A 25,646-nucleotide genomic window follows, 5' to 3' on the forward strand; every position below is an offset into this window, starting at 1 on the left:
ACAATAGCTTAAAATTATATCTGGCATAAAAATATATAAACAGTTGTTAATATGCTCTGTAAATGTAAGCCTAGATCTACAAACTTAAGTTTCATTTGTTCTACTAAAATACATTTCCACATTCTGAAAATGGAATTTGTCTTAATGAGAGAAAAGTGTAGGAAGAATAATGAAAATTATATATAAATACAGAGTTAAGATTCAGAACGTTATTATTATTATTATCATTATTTTGAGACAGGAGTCATGTTATGTTGCCCATGTTGGTAGCAAATTCCTGGGCTCAAATGAGTCTCCTGCCTCAGGCTCCTGAGGTAGCTGGGATTTAAAAGCATAATTAATGAGGGCTTTCTCATTATTTTCAGTTCTGTGTAGTCAATTAGGCCAGACTCAAGAAAAAAGAAGCTAGCGTTTAGCCATAATGTCCAGGAACGTTTGTTTATCAGACAATTTTCTCTAATGCATTTAAAAGCATTTACTTCAAAATTTGGACTAAGCACATTGAAGCAGTCATTTGTTTTGTTTGAATTTTCAAGTGCTTTTTGAAACTATGTGTATTTTTTCACATAGCATTGTCTTTCTGTCTGCCAGCCTCTCCTGGGGCCCTAGTGTGGCCACAGCTGCTTGCACTGTAGCCTCGGATGCCAAACCAGAGTGCTTCTCAGGTGCTGACATCACAGCTCCTTCACTGGCAGACCATACCTAACCATCCGAGAACTCCAGCAGGCTAGCACATGCCAGTGCACAACCACGCACTTGCAGTCTCCCTTTATAGCATCCTTGCCAGCTTTACCAGCACATACAAACACACAGCCCCCCATCACTTCTTTGTTGGCACATGCGCATGGGCAGATCTTGCCTTCCCAAGCCCCTCCTGCAGTGCATGCATGGGCATACAGCCTGCTGTCCCTCCACCCCTGGGGCCCCATCCTTGATGACGTGTATGCACCATGCTGTACTCCTGTGCCTGCCCTTGCATTATTGTAGCTAGTGTACCAGGAGCACCTTGGTTTCTCTAGTGCGGTAGGTTCCTAATCTTGAGGGGTGAGAGAAAAAAGCCAGGGGCCCAGCACCAGCCCCCAAGAGTTAAAACATGCAGCCAAGGAGTGCTGAGCTGAGCCTTGGCACCCTGAAATGTTCCAGAAATGAAGACAGTTAACTGAACCCACCTTATACCACAGTCAAACCCTCAAGGGCAACAAAGAAGATAAAAGCGAAAAATCCCACTGAAAGGACAGCAACTTCAAAGACTAAAGGAACATCAGCCCACACAGATAAGAAATAATCATTGCAAGAACTCTGGAAACTCAAAAAGCCAGAGTGTCGTCTTACCTTCAAATGACCACACTAGATTCCCAGCAATGGTTTTTAAACAGGCTGAAATGACTGAAAATACAGACATAGAATTCAAAATGGGAATAGGAATGAAGACCATTAAGACTCAGGAGAAAGTCAAAACTCAACCCAAGGATTCTAAAGAATACAATAAAATGATACAGGACCTGAAAGACAAAATAGTCATTTCAAGGAGCATCAAACTGATTTTATAGAGATGAAAAATTCACTGCAAGAATTTCATAACAAATTGCAAATATAAACCTCAAACAGACCAAACTGAGGAATGAATCTCAGAGCTCGAAGATTGGTTCTACCAATTAACCTAGTCAGACAAAAATAAAGAAAAAGAATGAACAAAACCTCTGAGAAATACAGGATCATGTAAAGAGACTAAATCAACTATTAATTGGTATACCTGAAAGAGAGGAAGAGAAAGCAAACAACTTGTAAAACATATTTGAATAGGTCATCCACAAAAATTTCTCCAACCTCACTGGAGTAACCAACATTCAAATTCAGAAAATACAGAGAACCCCTATGAGATACTGTACAAGACAATCATCACCACAACACAGAGTCATCAGATTCTTCAAAGTCAGGATGAAAGAAAAAATATTAAAGGTAGCTAGAGAGAAGGGACAGGTCATCTACAAAGGGAACCTTATCAGGCTAACAGTGGACCTTTCAGCAGAAACACCATAAGCCACAAGAGATTGGTGGCCTATATTCAGCATTCTTAAAGAAAAGAAATTCCAACCAATAATTTCATATCCAGCCAAAGTAAGCTTCATAAGCAAAAGAGAAATAAGACCCTTTTCAGACAAGAAAATGCTAAGGGAATTTGTTACTAAAAAACTTGTCTTACTATTGGTTCTAAAGGGAGTGTTCAATAGGGAAATGAAAGACCATTACTGGCCACACAAAAACACAGTTAAGTATGTAGATCATTGACACCATAAAGCAACTACACAATCAAGTCTGTATAATAACCAGCTAACAATATGATGACAGGATCAAATCCACACAAGTCAATATTAGCCTTAAATGTAAACATGCTAAATGCACCCAATTAAAAGGCATGGAATGGCAAGTTGAATAAAGAAACAAGACCCAACTGTATGCTGTCTTCAAGAGACTCATCTTACATGCAATGATATGCATAGGCTCAAAGTAAAGAGATAGAGGAAAATCTACCAAGCAAACAGAAAACAAAAAAAGCAGGAGTTGCTATTCTAATTTCAGACAAAACAGATTTTAAATGAACAACGATAAAAAAAAAAGACTTTATGTCATAGTAAAGATTCCATTCAACAAGACTTAGCTATTCTAAATATATATATGCACTCAGCACAGGGGCAACCACATTTATAAAACAGACTCCTAGACACCTGTGAAGGGAGTTAGATAACCACAAAATAATACTAGGAGACTGATACAGTGTGAATGTCTCCCCTAGATCTCATGTACAGATGTAATAGCATTGTTGGAAGTGGGGCCTGGTGGGAGCTGTATGGGTTATGGGGTGGTGAGAATCCCTCATGGCTTGGTGCTGTCCTTGAAACAGGGAGTGAGTTCTCATAACATCTGGTCATTTAAAAGTGTGTGGCACCACCTTCCACCTTGCTCCCACCCTGCAATGTGAGATGCCTGCTGCCACTTCACCTTTTGCCATGAGTAAGTTCTTTTAGGCTTCCCCAGAAGCCAAGCACATGTTAGTGCCATGCTTCTGTGCATCCTTCAGAACTTTTAGCCAATTAAACCTCTTTTTATAAATTATCCAGTCTCCATTATTTCTGTATAGCAATGAAAGAACAAACACCTTACTGATCAGTATTAGAAAAATCTTCAAGGCTGAAAACTACCAAAGATATTCAAGACATGAACTCAAAACGTGAGCAAATGGACCAAACATACATGTACAGAAAACTCCATAAAAAACAGAAGAATATGAATTATTCTCATTTGCACATGACACATACTTGAAAATCAACGTAAAAATTGAGCCATCTATGACAAACCCACAGCCAACCTCATACTGAATAGCCAAAAGCAAATTCAAAAAAACTGAAATGACACTAACCACACTCTTAGACCACAGATAAATAAAAATGGAAATCTAGACTGGTAAGATCACTCAAAACTATACAATTATATGCAAGTTAAACAACCTGCTCCTGAGTTACTTTTGAATAAACAATGAAGTTAAGGTAGAAATCAAGAATTTCTTTGAAACTAATGGAAACAAAGATGCAAACCAGAATCTTTGAGACCCAGCTAAAGCAGTGTTAACAGGAAAGTATATAACACTAGATGTCTACATCAAATGTTAGAAAGATCTCAAATTAATTAGCTAACCAGAAAAACAAGAGCAAACCAACCCCAAAGCTAGCAGGAGAAGAGCAATGACTAACAGAGGTAAACTTAATTAAATTGTGATTTAAAAAACATTCAAAAGATCAGGGAAATTAGGCTTATTTTATGAAAGAATAGATAAGACTGATAGACCACTAGTTAGACTAATTTAAAAAAAAACAGAAGATCTAAATAAACACAATCAGAAATGACAGAAAGAAAATCAATGCCACAGAAATACAAAAATACCCCCAAGACCATTAAAAACACCTCTATACACACAAACTAGAAAACCTAGAAAAAAATTGATACAATTCTGGAAATAAACAAGCTCCCATGATTGAAACAGGAAGAAGCTGAAACCCTGAAAAAGCCAAAACAAGTTCTGAAATTGAATCAGTAACTAAAAACCTACCAACCAGAAAAAAACCCTGGACCAGATTCACAATCAAATTCTACCAGATGTATAAAGAAAAGCTGGGACCATCCCTACTGAAACTATTCCAAAAAAAATTGAAGAGAAGGGACTTTTCCCTAACTAATTTTATGAAGCCACTATTTTTCTGATACTAAAATCTGGCAGAGACATGACAACAAAAGAAAACTTCAGGCCAATATCTTTGATGAACCTAGATGCAAAATTCCCCAGCAAAATACTAGCAAACCAAATTCAGCAGTACACAAAAAAGCTAATCCACTACGATCAGGTAACCTTTATTTATGGGACGCAAGGTTGGTTCAACATATATAACTCAATGAATGTGATTCATCATGTAAACAAAGGTAAAAATAAAAAACACATGATCATTTCAACAAATGCAGAAAAGGCTTTCAATAATTCAACATCCCTTCATAATAAAAATTCTCAACAAACTAGATATTGATGGAACATACCTCAAAATAATAAGAGCCATCTATGACAAACCCACAGCCAACCTCATACTGAATAGCCAAAACCTGAAAGCATTCCCTTGAGAACTGAAACAAGGCAAGGATGCCTATTCTCACTAATCCTATTCAGCGTAGTACTGGAATTCCTACCCAGAGCAATCAGGAAAGACAAAGAAATAAAAACCATCCAAATAGGAAAAGAGGAAGTCAAACTGTCTCTCCAGATGCTGTGATTTTATACTTAGATAACCCCATTGTCTTTGACCAAGAGCTCCTAGATATGATAAACAACTTTAGCTAAGTTTCAGGTAACAAAATTAATGTACAAAAATTACTAGCATTTATATACACCACCAACAGCTAATCTAAAAACCAAATCAAGAATGCAATCCCTGGTTCTAGATCCCTGAGGAACCACCACACTGCGTTCCACAATGGTTGAACTAACTTACATTCCCACCAACAATGAAAAAGAGTTCCTATTTCTCCACTGCCTCGCTAGCATCTGTTGTCTCCTGACACTAATAATCGCTCTTCTGACTCGCATTGAGATGGTATCTTATTGTGGTTTTGATTTACATTTCTCTAACATTGACCCAGCAATCCCATTACTGAATATATATCTAAAGCAATATAAATCATTATTCTATAAAGATACATGCACATGTATGTTTATTGCAGCAGTATTCACAATAACAAACACATGGAACCAACTCAAATGCTCATCAATTGATAGACTGCATAAAGAAAATGCGGTACATATACACCATAGAATATTATGCAGCTATAAAAAGGCATGAGATCATGTCATTTGCAGGGACATAGATGGAGTTGGAAGCCATCATTCTCAGCAAACTAACACAGGAACAGAAAACCAAACATCACATGTTCTTACTCGTAAGTGTGAGCTGAACAATGAGAACACATAGACACAGGAAGGGGAACAACACACACCTGGGGCTGTTGGGGAAGGGGGAGGGAGAGCATCAGGACAAATAGCTAATGCATGTGGGGCTTAAAACCTCGGTGATGGGTTGATAGGTACAGCAAACCACCATGGCACATGTATAACTACGTAACAAACCTACACATTCTGCACATGTATCCTAGAACTTAACGTAAAAAAAAAAAAAATGCAATCCCATTCACAATAGCCACAAAAATAAAATAAAACAAAATAAAATAAAATAAAATACCTAGGAATACAGCTAACCAGGGAGGTGAGAGATCTAGAAAAAGAAGTATAAAATACTACAGAAAGAAATCAGAGATGACACAGACAAATGGAAAAACATCACATGCTCAGGGATAGAAAGAATAAATACTGCCTAAAGCAATTTACAGATTCAATGCTATTCCTATTAAACTACCAGTGATATTTTTTACAGAATTAAGACAAAACTCTTTTAAAAAGACAAAATTAATTTAAAATTCATATGGAATCTAGAAAGAGCCTAACTATCCAAAGGAATCCCAAATTAAAAGAATAAAGCTGAAGCATCACGTTACCTGACTTCAAATTATACTACAAGGGTACGGTAACCCAAACAGCACAATAGTAGTACAAAAACAGACACATAGATGGATGAGACAGAATAGCTAGCCCAGAAATAAAGTCACACACCTATAACCATTTGATCTTTGACAAAATTGTCAAAAACAAACTATGGGGAATGGACTTCCTATTCAACAAATGCTGCTATGATACTGGCTAGCCGTATGCAGAAGATTGGAACTGAACCCCTTCCTTATATCATATATGAAAAATGAAGCCAAGATGGATTAAAGCCTAAAATGTAAAACCTAAAATAAAAACCCAGAAAGAAAACCCAGGAAATACCAATTCTGGATGTTCGCCCTGACAAAGATTTCATGATCAAGGCATCAAAAATAATTGCAACAAAATAAAAATTGACCAATGGGACCTAATTAAACTAAACCATTTCTGCACAGAAAAAGAAACTATCAACAGAGTAAACAACCTATAGAATGGCAGAAAATATTTGCAAATTGTGCATCTAACAATGGTCTAATATCTAGAATCCTTAAGGAACTCAAATTAACAGGCAAAAATCCAACAACCCCATTAAAATGTGGGCAAAGGGCATGAACTGATGCTTGTCAAAGGAAGACATACACATGGTCAACAAGCATATGAAAAAGTGCTCAGAATCACTAATAATTAGAAAAACGCAAATCAAAATCAAAATGAGATACCATCTCACAACCAGTCAAAATAGCTATTATTAAAAAGTCAGAAAATAACAGATGAAGATACAGAGAACAGAGAACACTTATACACTGTGGGTGGGAATGTATATTAGTTTAGTCACTGTGGAAAGCAGCTTGGCAATTTCTCAAAGAACTTAGAACAATGATTCGACCCAGCAATCCCATTACTGAGTATATACCAGAAGAAAATAAATCGTTCTACCATAAAAACACATGCATGCGTATGCTCATTGCAGCACTATTCACAATAGCAAACACATAGAACCTAAATGCCCATCAACAGTAGACTTGATAAAGAAAATGTGGTACATATACACCATGGAATGTTACACAGCCATAAAAAAGAAAATCATGTCCTTTGCAGCAATATAGACAGAGCTGGAGGACATTAGCCTAAGCAAAGTAACACAGAAACAGAAAACCAAATGCCACCTTGTTCCATGTTCTCACTTATAATTAAGAGCTAAACATCAAGTACACATGGACACAAAGAAGGGAACAATAGACTCCAAGGCCTACTTGAGGGTGGAAGGTGGAAGAAGGGTGAAGATGTAAAAACCACCTTTGTGTATTATGCTGATTACCTGGGTAACAAAACAATCATGAAGGTACACCAAATCTCCATGACATGAAAATTACCCATATAACAAACCTGCACATGTATGCCCTGTACCTATAATAAAAATTGAAAGAAAAGAATGGTAACTAACATTTATAAAAAGTATCTTAAGTGATAGGCTTTTTCTAGTTTATTTTCTCATGCATCAAGTCTTTGAGTCCTTAAATTAAACTGTAAGTTTGGTACTGTTATTATCCTCATTTTAAGGTAATGAAACTAAGCTACAGAAAAGCCACTTGCTCAGAGATGGAAAGTGGCAGATATAGGAGTCACAATTAGGACTCTGTCCAGTGTCCCTTCTCCAAACATTTGTGTGACACTTCCCTGATAGAACACATAAAATGCTCCAGGGGGCTTGTGGGTGCATCTGCAAGGTGGAACTGTAAACCCCTGAAAAAAACATGATGGGAAAAAAGCAAGCCAATCTCACTCCAAGCCAGAGCCAGAGCTTTTCTTTATGCATCTTAATGATCATTCATTCTCATTAGGATGATACCATTCCATCCTTATACATTACCACACTAACACATGATTAATAGTTACCGTTAGGCAGCTACCTCTCTGTGATGGTTAATATTGTCAACTAGATGGGATTAAAGGATGCAAAGTATTGTTCCTGGGTGTGTCTGTGAGAGTGTTTCCAAAGGAGACTAACATTTGAGTCAGTGGACTGGTAGAGGAAGACCCACCCTGAAGCAACTTATCTAATCAGCTGACAGCACGGCTAGGATAAAAGCAGGCAGAGGAACGTGGAAGGACTAGACTGGCTGAGTTCTCCAGCCTTCATCTTTCCCCCATGCCGGATGCTTCCTGCCCTCAAACATCAGATTCCAAGTTCTTCAGCTTTTGGACTCTTGGGCTTACACCAGTGGTTTGCTAGGGGCTCTCAGACCTTCAGCCACAGATTGAAGGCTGCACTGTTGGCCTCCCTACTTTTGAGGTTTGAGGACTCAAACAGGCTTCCTTGTCCTCAGCTTGCAGACAGCCTATGTGGGACTTCACCTTGTGATTGTGTGAGTCAATACTCCTTAATAAACTCCCTTTCATATATACATCTATCTTATTAGTCCTGTCCCTCTAGAGAACTCTGGCTAATACAGTATCAAAAGAAACAAAACAGATTAACAATTACATTTCTTTCCTGGTGATTCTAATTCTAGATGGCCTTATTTCTGCAGTAAATTGCAACCTCAAAATATTGCATTATTATCCAATAATTGCCATGTTTGTGCATTACTATAATTTATATAATACTCATTTTATCTTCTGGATTCAAAATGTAACTACTCAATTTCCGTCTTTCACTTTAAATTATGTTAGTTGTTTTATCTACGTCCCCAAACATCTTGTTTCTGACCAAAAATACCATAATATCTATAGTATCTATGTCATTAAATCATCAAGGATACAACTAAACAATTGAATTCATGTTTTTTTCTTCTGCATAAAATCAAGTATAACATCTAGATAATTTATTTTTCTAATGCAAGTATTCTGTGGCATGAGGAAATAGCCTTAATGTGTACATGGCTCCATAATTACACAGTACATAGTAGTATTATAATAGTATTTACTAGTATTTTACAGGTATTCGACTTCATGTTTATTGCCTCTGTTTAGCACTCAATGGTAGCACTGAATATACTACCTCTTCTCTGAAATTTCAAAATATGTTTGATGCAGATTCTGTAAACATTTTTTGTGCAATATGTAGTTAAAACAGCAACAGAAAGCCTCAGTTGCAGCACCCACACGTTCTATATTGAAACACATACTGAAGATTTTAAGAATTCTGAAGCAATACTACCACTTTTCAAAAATGCCTGTGAGTCATCCCTGGAAGGCTTTCCCTTTCTTTTCCTAAAACTGTAATAAAATGCTAGTGAACTGACTTAAATGATGATCTGTATCCGTTATAATAATAATAATAAAAAAAACACTTTCAGAAATAAATTGAATGATATTTTGACCTGCCACACTAATGGAGAAAAGCATATGCCTTCTTTATCATACATCTTCCTTGAAGTATATCTTAAGGTCTCTTTGTCACTGGCATCAACAGCTGAAACATTAAGCTCTCTTGGCTCCTTTAGTAGGAAGATCCAGTTTGACCTAAGTCATTGAAGGTAAAAAGCGCATATGATTTAGGGGCTCTAATGCAATAGTTAATAGCTCTGCTAGAGTAGCACATTTTATGTCCCCAGTCGATGCTTCCTGTTTCATTTACTTTAATTATCCAACATTTTAGATACAATTCTTTTCATCCAACTTCCCTGTTTTCTTAGAGTTAATTGCTGCTCATAATCGTAGTACTGGATCATTGAGGAAGAAGAAAGTAACTATTCTTTGAAGTCATGTATTCTTCCTGCTGATAGCAGAATTATTCCCTAAAGGATATTTCTAGCACTTTGTCCATTTCAGTTACAATTGTCTTCAGAGACATGATTTCTATCACTTTCCCTGAAACATCACTTGACACATTATTCATTTAATGGGTTTTATGATTTTTTCCTTTTATACAAAAAACATACATTCCATTTTCTTAATTTCGTCTCACTTTTACTAGATATGAAACATAATGGCTTAAGTAATTTCTCTTCAATTTCTAACAACTACATTCTCTATGTAAGGTAGTGACATAAAATGATCATAGTGTAATTTTTATCTATATCACATAATATTAAATTGGTTTTTCACCTATTTTATTATGAAAATTGATCTATATCTTAAGATATTTACCTTTCAAAAGCACCAAATAGTTGATTAATCACTGAGAGAAAAATAAGCAAAATATTTTATTGGATAATCACAGTCTTCTAAAATTTTATTTTTAAAAGTTAGTCATACATTCACTTGGTGTAAAATAGAGAAGGTATCAGAAGTTATATAATCAAAATAAAATCCTCTCCTACACTTTGCTCCAAAAGAACTCATTACCCCAACCAATTTCTCCATCAGTCTTTCAAAGATATTTTCTTACCTATTATCTATGCAAGCAAAACAAACACATGTATAAATATAATACATTACTATACACAAAAGAAATAATGAAACAAAAATGGTAGCACAAGATAAAAATTATTTTGCAACTTATGACACTTAATATATCATATTGGTCTTTCTATATTATTGCTAATACAGCTGCCTCATTCTCTTTGATAACTAGTTCCAAATTTTTAGCACTAGAAGTGGAAAAATGTAGTCAGATTCTGAATTGATTTGAAGGTAGAACTGACAGGAACTTCTGGGTGTCAAGAATTATTCTAATTTTCTTAAAACTGGAAGGATGCAGTCACCTTAACCTAGATGGAGATGATTATAAGTAGAGAAAGAGCTTGGGAGATGATCAAGAGCTTAGGTTTGAACATGTTAACTTTGCTATACATATTAGGCTTCATAAATATATATACTTATATATTTAAGAAATTTTACATCTACTTCCATTTTATTAAGAGTTTTCATCCATAATTGATGTCGAGTTTCATCAAACATTGGTCCTAAATTTATGGAGAGGCAGATAGGAATTATTGGTTATTTTAAACAGTCTGATTATCCGTTCCATATAATCAACATCGTGATTATCTAATAACTTAATGGGATTTTTAAATGGTAGCTCTTTTCTGGAGTTTCTATATTGGAGATTGATATGTATATAGCAAAAAGCTGCATATCCATAATTATTCAGGAAGGCTATTGTGTTGTTTCATTACGGAAACAATCTCATTCTATTATCTATGTTGTGCCTGGAGTGGAACTCAGAGGACCTGATTTTAAATTTGTCTGTTTTTCTACATTACCACATGAGAATATAAAAGCAGATCAGATGTAAATACTGATCACCAATGACTTTATAATTTGAAAGTAACCTATTGATTAGTGTGTGCTTGCCCAAACTATCTTTTGCATGTTAGGCATAAAATTCTAAGCAGAGACATCCTCGTTGATGACTATTCACAGCATTGCTAGAGTCACTGTTCTTGCCCAGAGTTAGTACAATGTAGTACCTCATACAAACCAAACGTTTTCAGATGGGATTCTTCATTTTTTCTTGTCCTAGGACTTCTGGTTGCTGCTGCTATTTCAAACACTGTCAAGGACCTCCATTATAATCAGCCACCTCCTGCTGAGGACTTCTCCCCTCAAACCAGCACTCAATTCATCCAGACAAGACTTTTAGCTGAGACATCTGTGGTCTACAATGGAATGAAACCAGAATCAACAATCTGGTTAAACTGCACAGCCTGTCTCATTTATATATGGTTATTTTGGTGCACATTTGAGCTTTCTTTGATTTGCAAAGTGAAAATGCCAACTTTTTGATTATTAATATATTTCAATTATTTTATAATAAGAAGAAATTATGTATGTGCTATTTATGGGCTAATAAAAATCTCAGCTGAGGTGAAAAGATGAGCAACTGGACAGATTAAACTGAAACTTTCTTTTTAAAAAGTTTAATTGTATGTATTTAAGATGTACAACATGATATACATCGAGATAATAAAATGGTTACTGCAGTCAAGCAAATTAACATATTCCTCCTCTCACATAGTTAACCCCTTTTTATGTGGCCAGGGCACCTATAATCTACTCTTTAAGCATTAAACATCCCAAGTACAATACCGTATGTATTATTAACTATAGTCCTCATTTTGTACATTAGATCTCTGTACTTGTTCACCCTACATATCTGGTACTTTGTGTCCTTTGACCTACATCTCCCATTTTTTTCCCTATGCACTCCTATTCCTGATTACCACTGCTTTATTCTCCATCTCTGTGTATTCAACTTTTTTTTAAGATTCTACATGTGAGATCATGCAGTAGTTTTCTTTCTGTGTGTGTCTTAATTCGCTTAGCATATTCATCCATATTCATCCATATTGCGGCAAATTGCTCCTACACTGTAGGTGGGAATGGAGATTAGTGCAGCCATTGTGGAAAACATTATGGTAGTTCCTAAAGAAATTACAGATAGAATTACCATATGACTCGGCAGCCCCTTTTCTGGCTATATACCCAGAGGAAATAAAATCACTACCTTGTAAAAGTATTTGTATTCCCATGTTCAGAAGGTACCAGAAGTTATATAATCAAAATAAAAGTCTCTCCCACACTTTGTCCCCAAGATCTCATTACTCCAACCAATATCTCCATCAGTTTTTTAAAGATATTTTCTTACCTATTATGTATGCAAGCAAAACAAACACATGTATAAATATAATAAATTACTATACAAAAAAGAAATAATGAAACAAATAGCACAAGACAAAAATTATTTTGCAACTTACTACACCTAATATATCGTATTGGTGTATGTCAAATATACATCATTTCTTTATCCATTTGTTCACAACACATTATATATACATATAGAATGGAATGGTATTAATCCCTTAAAAAGAATTTTAAATCAAAACTTTCTTGAGGCCGTCTCAGCATATATCCAATCAGTAGATACTCAGTTTAAAGTTAAGAGGAGGAAGAGGAAATAACAGGAGAAAAGAAGAATAAGGAGGAAGAGAAAAGACAGAGGAAGAGTGAGGAGTGGAAAGAAAGTAGGAGGAAGGGAAAGGTGAAGAAAGGAAATAAAAATGGCACAGAGTGATATAAAACATATTCTGCTCCATTTATAGAATCTACATTTTCTGCATCTACCAGCATTAGAGAGGAAAGTTGGACATTAACATGGAAATGTTTTTCCTCATAAACCCAGTATCCAATTTGTATTGGCTATAGACATTAAGTTAGGTCATTTATTAATGCTTTATTTTCAATTCTCTTTTGTTCTTGCATCTGCTTTTGTATGAACAAAGCCTGCACTGTAATCAGTTCTGTCCTCAGTTTTCTTAGTAGACTCATAAACAATAATTCTGGAATACTAAAATAATACTACATATTTTTTAAAATCACTAAGTGCCTTCCAAACAGTTGCTTTCAGTGTATTCTCAGGCACATAACAACAACAAAAAAATACATTTGATTTACTACCTTTTTGTTTTTATTTTGTTGATATTTATCAAATTTTAAACATGATGCCAAAAATAATGATATCTTTATAGTTATAAACTCTACTTAGGGAAAAATTTCTGATGGTAAAAGTATAAATCAGAAAATTTGCCTACTGAGATTTCTTTTTTGAGACAGAGTCTCACTCTGTCATCCAGGCTGGAGTGCCATGACATGATCTGTGCTCACTACAACCTTCACATACCAGGTTCAAGAGATTCTCCTGCCTTAGCCTCCCAAGCAACTAGGATTACAGGTGTCCGCCACCATGTCCAGCTAATTTTTTGTATTTTTAGCAGATATGGGGTTTCACCATGTTGGCCAGGCTGGTCTCAAACTCCTGACCTCAAGTGATCACCCAGCCTCAGCCTCCCAAAGTGCTGGGATTACAGCTGTGAGCCACTGCACCTGGCTAAGATTTCTTTTTGAAAAAGAAATTTTCACATGCATCTGTGTGAAGAGACCACCAAACAGGCTTTGTGTGAGCAATAAAGCTTTTTAATCACCTGGGTGCAGGCGAGCTGAGTCCAAAAAGAGAGTCAGTGAAGGGAGATAGGGGTGGGGCCATTTTATAGGATTTAGGGGGGTAGTGGAAAATTACAGTCAAAGGTGTGTTCTCTTATGGGCAGGGGCGGGGGTCACAAGGTGACCTGAACTAACCTGTAAGACTTGTCTGGTTTTTTGGACAGGTAAAACGGGGGAATTATAAGGAGAGTTTATAGGCTTTAAAAGGCCATGCTGTAACAGGTGAGTGATAACAGGCTTTAATCCTTTTAAAGCATGCTGTGGGATGGGATATTGGCATTGAGAGGGGTAAGGGTGATTAGGTTTTAATGGGATGGTAAGGGGTGTATGATTGGTCACCAAGGAGGGAGTAGAGGTGTCCTATACTTGTGGATTAAGGTGGGGAGATACAAGGAGAGGATGTGAAAGAGGCTTTTTACTGGGGAAAAGGGTGGTGATGAGGTGTGGTCGTAGCCTAGGAATAGTCAGGGAAGCAGATAACTTAGTTAAAATGTCTCGACCTAATAAGGGAGCTAGGCAGGTGGGGATAACTAAAAAGGAGTGCATAAAAGAATGTTGTCCTAGTTGGCATCAGAGTTGGGGAGTTTTAAGAGGTTTAGGAGCCTGGCCGTCAATACCCACAACAGTTATGGACGCAAGGGAAATAGGCCCTTGAAAAGAAGGTAATGTGGAGTGGGTAGCCTCCATATTGATTAAGAAGGGGACGGGCTTACCCTCCATTGTAAGAGTTACCCAAAGCATCTGTGATGGTCCAGGAGGCTTCCAAGGTGATCAGGCAGCACCAGTCTTCAGCTGTTAAGCTGAGAAGATCTGGGAAGAGGTCAGTCAGAGAGCCTTGGGCCAGAGTTCCAGGGGCTCTGGGAGTGGCTGCCGGGTGATTTGGACAGTCTGATTTTCAGTAGGGTCCTGCACAGATGGGACACAGCTTAGGAGGAATCCCGGGCTCTGGGCATTCTTTGGCCCAGTGGCCAGATTTCTGGAACTTGAAATAAGATCCTGGGGGAGGAGGTCCCATAGGAATGCTTGACTGCTGCAGCTTAGGCATTTGGAAGTTCTTGTATGCTGGAGATGTGGCTGGGGTTTCTCTCACAGTGGACGGAAGGAATTGCAACTCAGAAATATGTTGCTACTTGGCTGTCTCTATTATTGTACACCTTGAAGGCGAGGTTAATTAAGTCCTGTTGTGGGGTTTGAGGGCCAGAATCTAATTTTTGGAGCTTTTTTAATGTCGGGAGCAGGTTGGGTAATAAAATACATATTGAGAATAAGACGGCCTTCTGACTTTTTAGGGTCTAGGGCTGTTAAGAATCTCAAGGTTGCTGCCAAATGAGCCATGAACTGGGTTTTTATATTGATGAAAAAGAGCCTAAATGCTATCTGATTTGGGAGAGGTCAGATAAAGAAAAAGGAACATTAACCTTGGCTATGCCTTTAGCTCCAGCCACCTCTTTAAGAGGAAATTGTTGGGCAGGTGGAGGAGGGCTAGTCACAGAACAAAACTGTAAGCCAGACTGGGTGTGAGGAGGGGAGGTAATAGAAGGATTATAGGGTGGAGGAGCAGAGGCTGAGGAAGAACTGGGACCTGGCTCAGCCTGGCGAGGAGCAGCCTGGGGAGGAGGGAAGAGGTCAGATGGCTCTGTAGAAAAGGAAGATTGAAAAGACTCAGCAACACTTGGGGTTGGGACTGAGGGGACAGGCAGGAGGGAAAGAAGGAAGATTTGGGACGAGTTGCATTGGGAACAGAGATTAGGGAGGGACCAATGTGCAAAAGAATGCCTGGACGTCAGGCACCTCAGATCATTTGCCCATTTTTCAACAAAAGTTATCTAGTTCTTGTAGGATGGAGAAATTGAAAGTGCCGTTTTCTGGCCATTTAGAACCATTATCAAGTTTGTATTGGGGCCAAGCAGTGTTGCAGAAGAAAATAAGGCATTTAGGTTTTAGGTCAGGTGTGAGTTGAAGAGGTTTTAAGTTTTTGAGAACACAGGCTAAGGGAGAAGAGGGAGGAATGGAGGATGGAAGGTTGCCCATAGTGAAGGAGGCAAGCCCAGAGAAAAGAGACAGTAGAGACACGGAGAGAAGGGGTGGGGGGGTGTTTGCCCCCCAGAAAAGTGGTGCTTGCCACTAAGGGTGAAGGATCAAGGCAGACGTCCACGCGGTGATCAGACACCTCTGAAATGTGGTGAATAATCAGGCAGGCATCCCCGCAGTGATTAAACACCAAGGGAAGACTGTTTTTCCGAGTCGGTGACCTGCGCGGAGTTTTGGGTTCATGGATAAAACGCATCTCCTCTGTCTCTACCAGAAAAGAAAAGGAACTGAAATTAAGAGAAGGGAGAGATTGAAGTGTGGCGCCAAGATTGAAAGGAGAAAGATGTTGAGGGATAGTGAGAGAGGTTGGAGAAGAGAGTAAACAGAGGCCGCTCACCCGGTTTAAAATTGGTGAGATGTTCCTTGGGCTGGTTGGTCTGAGGACCAGTGGTCATAGGTGGATCGTTCTCAGGGAGCAAAGAGCAGGAGGACAGGGGATTGATCTCCCAAGGGAGGTCCCCAAAGGGAGGTCCCTTGATGCGAGTCACGTTTCGGCACCAAATTTCATGCGCGTCCGTGTGAAGAGACCACCAAACAGGCTTCGTGTGAGCAATAAAGCTTTTTAATCAACTGGGTGCAGGCAGGCTGAGTCTGAAAAGAGAGTCAGTGAAGGGAGATAGGGGTGGGGCTGCTTTATAGGATTTGGGTGGGTAGTGGAAAATTACAGTCAAAGGGGGTTGTTCTCTTACGGGCAGTGGCAGGGTTCACAAGGTGCTCAGTGGGGCAGCTTCTGAGCCAGGAGAAGGAATTTCACAAGGTTAATCACTCAGTTTAGGTGGGGCAGGAACAAATCACAATGGTGGAATGTTATCTGTTAAAGCAGGAAACGGCCATTTTCACTTCGTTTGTGATTCCTCACTTGCTTCAGGCCATCTGGATGTATACGGGCTGGCTTGGGTTCAGAGGCCTGACAGGAATCTACCTATTTACAGTTTTCTAGCCTTCAGCTAAGGAAAGTCCCAAGTTAACTGTTACATGGTTCAGTCATCTAGCAAGATATTGAGGAAAAGTGAAAAGTCAATATAAAGAACAAAGTAAATACAGAAAAATGGAGTAGTTTTGCTATGCCTATTAATATATTATACATATAATATGTAACATGTATTATATACATAAAATATACTTTTTATTTACTACATATCACATAGATAATTGGTTCTGTTTCTCTGAAAAGATTCTTTTGAGAGAAAATAAGAGAGAGAGGGAACAAGAGAGAGAGAAACAAACAAATTTATGTATATGTATATCCTACTGGTTCTGTTTCTCTGGAGAGAATAGATATATATTCTCTAGAGAGAGAGAGAGAGAAGGATTTATGATGGGAATTGGCTTACATTATTATGAAGGCCGAGAAGTCCCACAATCTGCCATCTATTTACAAGCTAGAGAACCAGAAAAGCCATGGCTTAAAACAGTCTGAGTCCAACAAGTCTGAAAGCCGAAGAAACAGGAGCACTGATGTCAAAGGACAGGAAAAGATAAATGTTCCTGCTCTAGCCCAATCTTCCTTTTTATTCTTTTTTGTTCTATTCAGGCCCTGGATGGATTGGATGAGGCCCACCCATGTTGGTGAGGGCAACTCTTTACTCAGATTCAAATGCTAATCTTTTCCAGAAACGCCCTCACAGACACACCCAGAAATAATATTTTACCAGCTCTCTAGGCATCCCTCAGCCCAGTCAAGTTGACACATAAAATTAATCATGACAGATCATGTGTATCAATAAGGAGGTGACTCTGGAATTCTCTGCCTCAAGTTTCGTGTTAGTGAGGTTCTGAATGCTCAATGACATGCTGACTACACAGAGTAGAGAAGATTTCTTGGAGCAGCTAATTCAGCTGAATATTTGATCAAAGGTGATCACCTATGAAGAAAATAATTATGCTTTTTATTAAGTTGTGCTTTAAATTCTCTAAATTTGCCATTTTCTCTAATAATTAGCTCAAGTATTGTCCTGTCTCAAGAAACTTAAAAAAATAAAACAGGCAATTTTTGTTTACTGAAAGAGAACTGTGGAAACAAAGACTTTTCATTAAAAATCAATTTCTTAGGAAAATTATTATGTGACAGTACTCATTGCATAACATAATGGTGAGGAATAGATTGAAATACTAGAGAAACAAACTCACGCGCGTCCATGTGAAGAGACCACCAAACAGGTTTTGTGTGAGCAGCAAGGCTGTTTATTTCACCTGGGTGCAGGCGGGCTGAGTCCGAAAAGAGTCGGCAAAGGGAGATAGAGGTGGGGCCATTTTATAGGATTTGGGTAGGTAGAGGAAAATTACAGCCAAAAGGGATTGTTCTCTGGTGGGCAGGGACAGAGGTCACAAGGTGCTCAGTGGGGGAGCTTCAGAGCCAGGAGAAGGAATTTCGCAAGATAATGTCATCAGTTAAGGCAGGAACTGGCCATTTTCACTTCTTTTGTGATTCTTCACTTGCTTCAGGACATCTGGATGTGTAGTGCAGGCTTGGGCTCAGAGGCCTGACACAAACCTATAATTATATTCATTAATCTTATTTTCAACATTTGAAAATGAATCGTGAAAAATTTTATTAAGTGTCAAAACTTTATAAATGCTTTATATATCTAAAGATTATTTAAATTTTAGACCAATGTAACCATTTTTCCTCCTTTACAAAATTTCTAATACTTTATACGTTTCCATTCTTCTTTGGTGGCATGGAGAAAATAATTCCCATTGAAGAACAGAGATTGGTCTGTATAATTATTATTTGACACCATGTATATTTACCAGGTGCTTTCTGCATTTACAGCATTGAGGTCCCAAACATACATGGCATGAGAGAAAGACCAGCACACAGCCCCTTTCCAAAGAGTTCAAGGAGAATTGACTGCTATTTTTTTCTATAACAAAGTGTCTGGATTATGACTGTTTCAACTTTCGAAGCTTCTGAACACAGAACAGTTTAATAAGCTCAGTGATCTCTAAGAAACATTTGCCAGAAAGAAAACCTGCGGATCATGATTTCAAAGTGACTCAAACAGAGCTTTTCGCTACAAAGTGCCTTTTCAATTAGAATGCTGGAAATCAGACAGTGCAAAGATGTAAGGTAACCAGGGAAGGCAAGTTAGGGCTGCCTATGGCTAGATAGAACTATTCCTTTCTCGTTTAGTTCAGCTCCTTGAAGAAACCTGAGGTGCAAGAGCAGCACATACCAATTTCTTGCATTTTCTCCCTTGTTTTGGTCTTGAGTGCCTTTATATGGTGTCTTATTCCTTCAAGTCTATTGTGAAGCTTCTATTAGTTTTTAAAAGCTTTTGTTTCCAAGAAGTAGGTTGCTACCTCTCCCACAACAAGAAAATAAAATTACTAAGTACTACAACCTTGGGCCTGTTTCTAATCATTGGGAGATAAAATGAGGGGATCATTTGACAGTCACTGTACGCTGGAAACATCAACTAATGACCTTTATTACTAATGACCTGGGCCCTCAGGCAATGAACCTAGACAACACTGATTAAGAGAGAAGCCTGCTGGTTTTTACAGCCATATAAAATTGAAGGAATCTTTGTGTTTAATAGAGAAGGAGTAGGACAGAGAAAGAAACGTAAAAATGAATGAGCTATAAAAAAAAAGACTTTTTTTCTTCCATTGTGCTGCATATTAGAGAACTAGTTAATAAATAGTAAGGCTCAGAAATACTTTTGAATTAATGTGTGGGACTGAGTCTTTGGAATAGATGAGTCTTTAAAAAATAACAATTATCCGCTGAATCCTGCAATCCTGTACACTTTGTCTACATGTCCCTAGAAAATGTGTCATGTCTAAACACAGCTATATCAAGCACCACAGACTTAGCAGAGTCTTCACAACTTCCCACCTGACTTCTGTAGTGAGTTTATCCATTAATATAATAAGAGTCCTCAGGGGTCTCTTCTGTTAAGTGCTCTTTCCGTTCTCCTGAAGTGGCACCAGGGGACTGCTCCACTGCTCCTCTTGGCAGGGTGTTTTTACACAGGAACCACCCACTACTTAAAACACTTCATTGAGATTCCTGTCCAAACTTTATTTAACCGTTGTTAGTCCATTTGTCCATGTCCTAGGGGTGTAATTAATGTAGCTGCTTCATATCCCCTCTTCATTTTAAAAGGACGTTAATACTTAAATCCACACTGGTCTCAAATATTTCAACCATTATGTTCACACATAGTGATTATTTCTGTAGTTGCATTAGAAAATTATCTTATAAAAATGATTTGAAGAAGAAATATTGTGAAAAACCATAGAAGCAGATTAAATAAAATTAAAATCACACACAAGCCCAACACCCCATAGATGTCATCAGTTTTACCAGTTGGTTATATTTTCGAAGAACCTATCTTTCTTAAAAAAGTGAGTTTACACAATGTATAGAATTCTTATATTCCTCTTTTTATTGAACAGTGTATTGAGAAAATTTTCCTATGATGTTGGGAATGTAACTTTATTGGCAGTCCATGCTGAACATGTGGAATGTGCTACTCCAACAGATATTCCAGAGGAAAATAATCAGATCAAACAATATGTTATTTCAAAGCCAATCAGCACATAATTCATAGCTGTTAAATTCAGCTTCTTGGTTAATATATGAACTGGTTGTGAGAATTGACAAATTGTTTCTAAGCTCCCGAATAATATTACTAATTTAACTAGCTTATGACTTATTAAAATGCTTTCCCTAAGAAGAATAAGATACAACATTAGATCATTGTTAGAGGAAAAAACGATTAACTGTATTTTAATGGATCCAGTGTATTAATTATGTAGGCGATGGTTACCCTGAAAGCCTACACTTCACAACTACACACTGGGTCCAAGTAACAAAGCTGCACTTGCTCCCTTCAAATTTATATTAATTTTTTAAAAGTGTTTTTTCTCCCCTTTGTAGAGATATGTTGAGTTTGACAATCATACATTTGGATCTGTTTCATTCCTTCATGCATGAATTAATTCAACAAACATTTATTACTAGAGATTATGTTAGGTGTTGTCAATACTAAAGAAAAAAATAGAAAAGAGCTTGACACTCATGTATCTTACATTCTAATAATGGGAGCATATAAAATCTAGGGAAGAAAGAGCAATGTGCTAGACAGCTTTCTGGAAGGATTAAATCTGTCAACAGAGTTCTCCATCAGGAGTTAGCATTGAAATTGAGACCAATGCATGACAATGAGAAGAAGTGTGGGCAAAGTATTTCAGTCAGAAAAACATCTGCAAGGCCCCTGAGGCAAGAAAGATCTTGGCCTCTTTGGGAAACAGAAGTGAGAGCAGTTGCTGGTGAAAGCAATTAAGGTAAGAGAGGTATTGAAGTGAGGATAGAGAGGAGCTGGGGCCAGATTTGTGCAGTGCCTTCAGGGCATGGCAAGTGTTGGGGCCAAACCGAAGGCAACACATTATTCCTGTTCTTGGAGGTCCCACAGAAAGGTGAGAATTTCCACTTCTCAGAAGGGAAACACAGCATGAGAATTCTAATCCATTTACCTGAGAAGAATAGAAGAGTATGTCGGTTTTACTCTCTTCTGCATCCTTGTTTTGGCCTAAGAGCTCCGAAAATGGTAACAATTCCCTGCAAACTCTGTCCTTCACGAGGAAAGCCAGGGTCCAGGCCTGCCTTCTAGAGGCAGGTCTGTAAGTTGGCCTCTCTCTGTGAAGTCATGATTCTGCATCTCTATGTCCTCTCTGCAGACTCAAACATGCCCTTAAGCGTGCCTCTTCCAAGGGCTGGATAAGTGATGAGTACATCTGTGTTTGCCATATTATCTAAAAAATGTCATAAACACTTAATGGGGCTGCCATGCTGCTTAAACATATGAACTCATTTATTCCTCAAAACAACCTTGAGGTGAGTATGATTATTTTTCCTATTTTATAGGTAGAGAAATTGAGGCACAAATAAATTAAATGACAACTCAATGTGCAGTGGAGAGCTAGTTAGTAGTAGACCCGGAATTTGAACTCAGGTTGCCACTAAAGTCTATGCTTTCAGCCATATCATTAATGTCTCTTCAACTCTGCTGTGTATCTGCAATACTTTAATGAAAAATTTAAATATTAGTGTGGAAGACAGACACCAAAATGACTCCAAATTATCTCTACTTCTTTGCATTAATGGCCTTGTGTAACCCTTTCACCTTGAGTGTGGAAGGGACCCGTTACTTGCTTTTAACCAATAAAATATGGCAAAGGGCTGGAGTGTTGCTTTCATGATTACATTACATAAGATTGCAGTTTCCATCTGGCTAGGAGCCTATTGACTCGCTCCTTTGTGGGTTTGGATGAAGTAAGCTTGCCATTGGAAAGGCCCACATGACAAGAAACTGAAAATGGCCTCTGACCAACATTCATCAAGGGTCTGAGACTCCCAGTCCAGTAGCCAACAAGAAACTGAATCCCGCCAAAAGTGGATCCTTCCCTCCTTAATTGTCAGATGATTGTCCTGCCCTACTAACTCTTTGATTGTACCCTCGTGATAGGTCCTAAAGCAGAGGACCTAACTAACCATGTCTGGATTCCTGACACAACAGAAACTATGAGATTAAAAAAAAAGTACTATTTTTAGTCACCAAATTTATTGTAATTTGCTGTGCAGAAATAGATGACAAATTCAGCTGGTAGTAGGGCATATATATTGGCTAGAGCGGCAGTATATTAGTGACATATTGGCACCAATACACTGTTTTCTCCTTATCTTCTATCTCTTGTTCAAGTTGTGATACTATTATAGCCTGAGTATTCTTTCTGGAACTGGATATATCATGTCCTTTCTAGATCATGGCTAGTTCTCAAAAGGGGAAGTCAACTAGTTTGGGCTGCTTTCCTGGAATCATCAGATCCACAGTTGGTAGCCTTACTCATGATGACCTGCAGTCCCCTTGCATGGCTTTATCATATCGTTTTCTTCACTGGACCATCCTCTCAAGACCGTCCATTGGAAGCAGTTACTTTCTCACTGACTCACACCACACGTAACACACTCATGAAAAGTAGAAATACATTATCATCAGTCTAATTTCATTGTTTTGGTTAGAATAACAACAATAAAAGAAAAATAAAATACAAGCCAATAGTCAAGTGGCAATAACCAGTACTAGGTTATTACTTCTGTTTTCTTATCAGAGTCCTTGTAATTTATAATCAAATTATATTTGTTTTCTCTCCTTTACTCACTGGCTCAGCAAATGTTGTAGAATAAAAGGAATAAATAAAAGCATCAATTGATTTCACTTATGGCAAAGATCGCTGGACAGTGAGAAGCATCAGAAAGGAAAAACACAAGAAAGAATTATAAGATGAAGAGACAGCGAAATAAAAATAAAGGAGTACAAAAAGCAGCACACTTTGTCTTTACCAGAAAATAAAATTTGCCCTGATATTTAAAGCGGCAGTTAAGCAAACTGACACTAAATTCACATGTAACTATTCCCTACTCCATCCTTTAACAGGTCTAGAGTCAGAACAACTTTCATAAATGCTATGGCTAACTTTTCATCTGTGAGATTTTAAAAACTATTCCATTTACTAAAAAGATTTCACTGATCAATAGTTCCTGTTTAGTTTGTGGGTTATTATTAATTTCCATTAATTTAAAAATATCATAAAGGGCAGCAACTATTTTATGAATAAACATAATTGCATCCCCCAAAGATTTTACTGACTTATCTCGCAAGGTTTTGTTGTTGGTGTTGGTGTTGGTGTTGTTGTTGGTGGTGGTGGTGGCTTTGGTTTAATATTAATGGAGCATTATATGAAGAATACAATTCAGAACATGACACAGGCTAATTCTCAGCTGAAATAAAGCCTTTTAGAAAGCTAACATTTTTAAAAGCAGAGAAAGTGTAGTAGATTCAAAATCGTGCACTTCAATTTACACAAAATATTCACAGTGTATTATGTCACAGGTGAAGAGAATAGTGATACTAGATACTTAGATTGGACCAGATCTATAATCTCCAATGGTCAGTTAGAATTTTAACATAAAATACTTAAATTATCCACAGCAGATCACTGAGAAAAGTATGTATGGTCAGCTTGTGCTCTAAATTTACCATTTCAAAACCTTCATTAACTATAAACATATGAAAAAGTCAACATCCTCAGCATTAAAAAGGTCAAATTCACATTATTAATCTATACTTCATTTATACACTGGTTTATTTTCTCACCAAATAGATTTTCTTCCTTTTTAATTATCTATTTTTGTCAAATATGCCACTATAAACCAGAGACTCAAGCCAAAAATATAGTCATTCTAGGGTTTGACTTCTTTAGCCACTACTCTAGGCATTGGAATCAAGGACCTGTTGGTTAAGTCTCCTTACTACACTGTGAATCCACTGCTATCCCGTCACTATTTCAGATTCCTTTTAAATGTGGCTTGCCTCTGCTTCTGAAATAGTCTCCAAATTTGTCTCCCTGCTTTTGTGCTTCCCTCACATCTTTCCTCCACAGTTCATGTCAGTGTGATATTCCTAAGATTGAGTTCACGCTTATCAACCCACCACCCCTAAAACCATCTATAGTTTCTCAATACCTTTTGACTAAAGTTCCAGTTTTTCAAAATGACATACAGAGTCCTGAGGAATGACACAGGGACCTTCAGAATTCTCTGCCTTCAGTCATATTTCTCCTAACATAGCCCACCCTGTGCCGTTCTTTTTCAAACTGCTTAGATGTCTTGTGTTTGTGAAGTTCCCTCATGCCAATCAACATCCGACCTGGTTATGCCACGTCACCGTGTCTTTTCTATTTCTGGTTGCTCTCCCTAGAAGAGCTTCACTGCTCTGACCAGGAAAAGGATATTTGGCCATCTTTCAACAAGACATCCTAACCCCTCCCCATCCAAACAGAAATGAGCACTTCTAGACTTCAGCCATTGTCAACTTTCTACATATTTTCATAATCTATAATACTTTTATACACATATTTATGTGTTCTTATTCTAAAGTAGGTCATAAATACCTAAAATAAATTTGTTTTTGCATCCTGAACACCTAGAAAGAATGCCATAAATGTTCATTTATGGATTTATTTTGAAATAATAAATATATATTATGATATAAACTATTCAGTTTATATAGCTTCATTTATTGTACATTTGATTTTTATTTGAACAAAAAATCATAAGGTCATGATAATATACAAAAATGTAGAAATACAAATGTTTGACATATTATCCATTGTGAATTTTTCTTGAATATTCTCCCCTTTACTTTGCTTTATTCCCCATTTCGAGAAGTTAGACTTTTTCTTACTCAATACAGTATCTCATGGGAGTGATGGAAAAGGTAGAAAAGAGACTTGTTCTGCCTGTTGCCTTCCAAGAGCCTAGTTCCCTTAGTAAATGAAAAAATATTATGTATACAATAAGTATTTAAGAGGGGTACACTAGGCCAGGCATGGTGGTTCATGCCTTTAATCCCAGCACTTTGGGAGGCTGAGGCTGGCAGATCACTTGAGGCCAGGAGTTCACGACCAACCTAACCAATGTGGTGAAACCCCGTCTCTATTAAAAATACAAAAATTATCTGGGCTTGATGGTGCACACCTGTGGACCTAGCTACTTCAGAGGTTGAGGCACGAGAAT

General features: G+C 37.6%; 3 annotated features.

The window, feature by feature from the left end:
• Positions 778-1,278: an enhancer, noted in NCBI's record as "H3K4me1 hESC enhancer chr4:98045039-98045539 (GRCh37/hg19 assembly coordinates)". NCBI's record gives its function as "activates a minimal SCP1, AML or CMV promoter by ChIP-STARR-seq in naive H9 embryonic stem cells {active_cell/tissue: H9 hESC(naive)}" and the evidence as "EXISTENCE:reporter gene assay evidence [ECO:0000049][PMID:30033119]".
• Positions 16,697-17,896: an enhancer, noted in NCBI's record as "BRD4-independent group 4 enhancer chr4:98060958-98062157 (GRCh37/hg19 assembly coordinates)". NCBI's record gives its function as "activates an origin of replication core promoter dependent on BRD2, P300/CBP, MED14 and CDK7 cofactors, and independent of BRD4, by STARR-seq in HCT116 cells {active_cell/tissue: HCT116}" and the evidence as "EXISTENCE:reporter gene assay evidence [ECO:0000049][PMID:35650434]".
• Positions 18,155-18,736: an enhancer, noted in NCBI's record as "OCT4-NANOG hESC enhancer chr4:98062416-98062997 (GRCh37/hg19 assembly coordinates)". NCBI's record gives its function as "activates a minimal SCP1, AML or CMV promoter by ChIP-STARR-seq in naive H9 embryonic stem cells {active_cell/tissue: H9 hESC(naive)}" and the evidence as "EXISTENCE:reporter gene assay evidence [ECO:0000049][PMID:30033119]".

The sequence above is a fragment of the Homo sapiens genome, chromosome 4, assembly GCF_000001405.40.
Source record: "Homo sapiens chromosome 4, GRCh38.p14 Primary Assembly".
In the NCBI taxonomy this organism is placed as follows: domain Eukaryota; kingdom Metazoa; phylum Chordata; class Mammalia; order Primates; family Hominidae; genus Homo; species Homo sapiens.